Source organism: Homo sapiens, chromosome 12, assembly GCF_000001405.40.
Source record: "Homo sapiens chromosome 12, GRCh38.p14 Primary Assembly".
Lineage (NCBI taxonomy): Eukaryota > Metazoa > Chordata > Mammalia > Primates > Hominidae > Homo > Homo sapiens.
In genome coordinates, this window is record NC_000012.12 from 110427252 (window position 1) to 110430818 (window position 3567).

Genomic DNA, 3567 nt, shown 5'->3' on the forward strand with positions numbered 1-3567 from the left:
TTCTCCTGCCTCAGCCTCCCGAGTAGCTGGGATTACAGGCATATGCCACCACACCCAGCTAAGTTTTGTACTTTTATTAGAGACAGGGTTTCACAATGTTGGCCAAGATGGTCTCGATCTCCTGACCTCGTGATCCGCCCACCTCGGCCTCCCAAGGTGCTGGGATTACAGGCATGAGCAACCGGGTCCAGCCAATCTTTTTTTTTTTAAGTAGTTTTTTTCCTCCTGGTTATTAAGAGAACACATATCTTACTGAATTATAGATATATTTTACTCTGAATGTACAAGTCTTGTACTCTCTCCTGCCCCAAGATATTCATTGTTAAGTTTGCTGTACATGCTTCTAGTTTTTCCAGGAGTATATACAATGAAATAAACATTGTATTGGGATCATACTATAATACTGTCTTCAACTTTTTTCTTTTTTTTGAGACAGAGTCTCTATCACCCAGGCTGGAGTGCAGTGGCTCGATCTCAGCTCATTGCAACCTCCGCCTCCTGGGTTGAAGCGATTCTCGTGCCTCAGCCTCCTGAGTAGCTGGGATTACAGGCATGTGCCATCACACCCAGCTAATTTTTGAATTTTTATTAGAGACAGGGTTTCACCATGTTGGCCAGGATGGTCTCGATCTCCTGACCTGGTGATCCGCACGCCTCGGCCTCCCAAGGTGCTGGGATTACAGGCATGAGCCACCGGGTCCAGCCAATCTTTTTTTTTTAAGTAGTTTTTTTCCTCCTGGTTATTAAGAGAACACATATCTTACTGAATTACAGATACATACTACTCTGAATGCCTAAGTCTTGTACTCTCTCCTGCCCCAAGATATTCAAGTTTGCTGTACATGCTCCTAGTTTTCCCAGGAGTACATACAGTGAAATAAACATTGTATTGGGATCATACTGTAATACTGTCTTCAACTTTTTTTTGAGACAGTCTGTCTCTGTCACCCAGGCTGGAGTACAGTGGCTTGATCTTGGCTCACTGCAACCTCCGCCTCCCAGGTCCAAGAGTTTCTCCTGCCTCAGCATCCAAAATAGCTGGGATTACTGGTGCCCACCACTATGTCCGGCTAATTTTTTGTATTTTTAGTAGAGATGGGGTTTCACTATGTTGGCCAGGCTGGTCTCGAACTCCTGACCTCATGATCCACCTGCCTCGGCTTCCCAAAGTGCTGGGATTACAGGCGTGAGCCACCTCACCTGGTCGTCTTCTACTTTATTTAAAACTCAATAATGTATTCTAAGATATCTTACCATGACAGGATAGGTAGAACTGAACCATATTTAATTTTATGGATGGACCATAATTTAGTTATCCAATTCCCTATTGAGAGATGGCTGAACTATTTTCTTTCTTTTTTTTTCCAGAAAAGGATTTTTTTTTATTCAAGTAACTGCAAATAGGAAACCAGAGGGGGAGCCCCAGGCTGGGACAAATCATGGTCACCCCTCCCCAACAGAACAGGGGGAGGAGGTGGCCCCTACGCCCTTTATGGTTGATTCGGGACCCCTTGCTCACTCTGCTGCAGCATCCTAGGGGCAGGGCCCCACCTTCCCTGGGACTGGGGTAGGCGGTCACCCAGCCTGCCATGCCCCAGCCCCTCTTCCCTACAAAGAGTATCTTGCGGGAGGGGATCGTGGGCAGAACAGGAGGCAGTGAGGATGAATATTTGGCGCTGGTAGCAGCAGCAATGACGGATGTGGAAGAATGGAACATTGAACAAAAAACAACACAACTGTTCAGAGGTAGTTTGTGGACAGAGGAAAAATGGAACCAGAACCTTGAGGGGCAGGGAAGAGCAGGAGCGGGGTTGGGAGCGGGCAGGGTGAGCTCCTTGCTATTGGTGCCCCATCTGAGGAGGGGGAAATGGCTGAGTGGCGGAAGCAAAGTAGGGTTAGGGGAGCAGCCCCAGCCCACCTCAGGCGGCGGACACAGGGCTCGTGGGCCTCACCTGGACAATAAGTGACTGCATCTCCATCACCACAATATGTACTCGATCCCAGGCGGAGGGCAAGGGGGCTGCGGCCACAGTGAAGAGGGAGTAGGGGACTCACCCCTCCTGCCTTCCTGTAGCCGAAGGGGGCTGTCCAACCTAGTGCAGGGACTAGGGAAGGTGGGGAAGGATGAAAAGTGTGAGCCCCACGTGGTGACAAAGACAGTTTGGCTGGGGGAATCCTGGGGGCCAGCACCCCCCTCCATTGGCCACACCTGCTGCTGCCAGGGCAGTGGAGTAGGGCGTGCCAGGATGAGATGGGGCTTGGGCCCCTTTTAAGGCCAGGGGAACCCTCCCAGGCCCCACTATGGGAGGCCAGAGGGAACAGTGAAGCAGAGAGGGCGCCCCCAAACCAAAAGCCCAGAGAGCAATGTCCCCACCACCAACGGAGTGGGGACGCAGCAGGTGCAGGGTGCGGCTAAGTGAGATGCTAGCCTTGTCCAGGAGGGCATGTGTGTATGCGTGGGTGGGCGGGGGGAGCTGGGAACTGAGGCCAGGGGAAAACTGCTCCCCACTCAGCCCATGGGAGCCCTGCAGTGGCTGGTGTGCTGCGTAGTGTGGTGGTGTGGGCACAGGTGGAAGATGGGGGTGGCGGCCAGAGGCGGTGGTGATGGTGGGCCTGCGGAAGGGGCGAGGGCGGTGGGAGCGGAGCAAAGCTGTCCAGTCCCAGAAGGCAGCTGCTCCTCCAGTGAGGAGCAGGCGGCACGCACGGTTCACTGCTCCTCCTCCGAGGACTCTTGCGAGATGCCCTCCTCTTCCTACTTCTCCAGTTTTTTGGGTCTGCCCCTTGGTTTCCTTCCTGGAGTTATGGTGGTTTTCCGGGTCTTGGCGGCACCCTTGTTTTTGCTTCCCTTTGGTTGGCCCCGAGGTCTCTTAGGTGTTGGCACTTCGCTGGGCTCCTTCTGACTCCCTACAAGCGCTGTCCCAGGACTCATCGGAGGCTGCTTGCGCGGCCTGCCCCGGCCCCGCTTCTCAGTGCCCTCCTTTTCCTGCTTGGAGGCCAAGGGCTGGCTGGACTTCGAGCTCGACTCGCTCATCTTCCCTTCTCTAAGGAGCAGGTGAAAGAGTGATGGCTGGGATGCTTCTTGGAACCGCGCCAGCGCGAGAAATAGCCCTGGCTCGGAGTCCCAATTAGAGGACGGCTGAACTATTTTCAGTGTGTGCGTGTGTGTGTGTGTGTGTGTGTGTGTGTGTGTGTTCCCAGCATTCAACAATATGAAGTTGAGTTGCTTGATCAAAAATAATAAAATCTGGAGGCTGGGAGCAGTGGCTCACGCCTGTAGTCCTAGCACTCTGAGAGGCTGAAGCAGGAGGATCACTTGAGCCCAGGAGTTCGAGATCAGTGTGGGCAACATGGTGAGACCCCATCTTTATTTAAAAAAAAAAAAAAAAAAAAAAAAAGGCCGGGCGCGGTGGTTCACACCTGTAATCCCAGCACTTCAGGAGGCCGAGGCGGGTGGATCACGAGGTCAGGAGATTGAAACCATCCCGGCTAACACGGTGAAACCCCGTCTCTACTAAAAATACAAAAAATTAGCCGGGCGTGGTGGCGGGCGCCTGTAGTCCCAGCTAC

The 3567-nt window shown here is 52.7% G+C and overlaps 1 pseudogene, besides 1 other annotated feature; it reads right to left on the minus strand.

The window, feature by feature from the left end:
* HMGA1P3 (high mobility group AT-hook 1 pseudogene 3) lies at window positions 1364-3142 on the minus strand (annotated as a pseudogene).
* Window positions 1547-2048: an enhancer, noted in NCBI's record as "H3K4me1 hESC enhancer chr12:110866603-110867104 (GRCh37/hg19 assembly coordinates)". NCBI's record gives its function as "activates a minimal SCP1, AML or CMV promoter by ChIP-STARR-seq in naive H9 embryonic stem cells {active_cell/tissue: H9 hESC(naive)}" and the evidence as "EXISTENCE:reporter gene assay evidence [ECO:0000049][PMID:30033119]".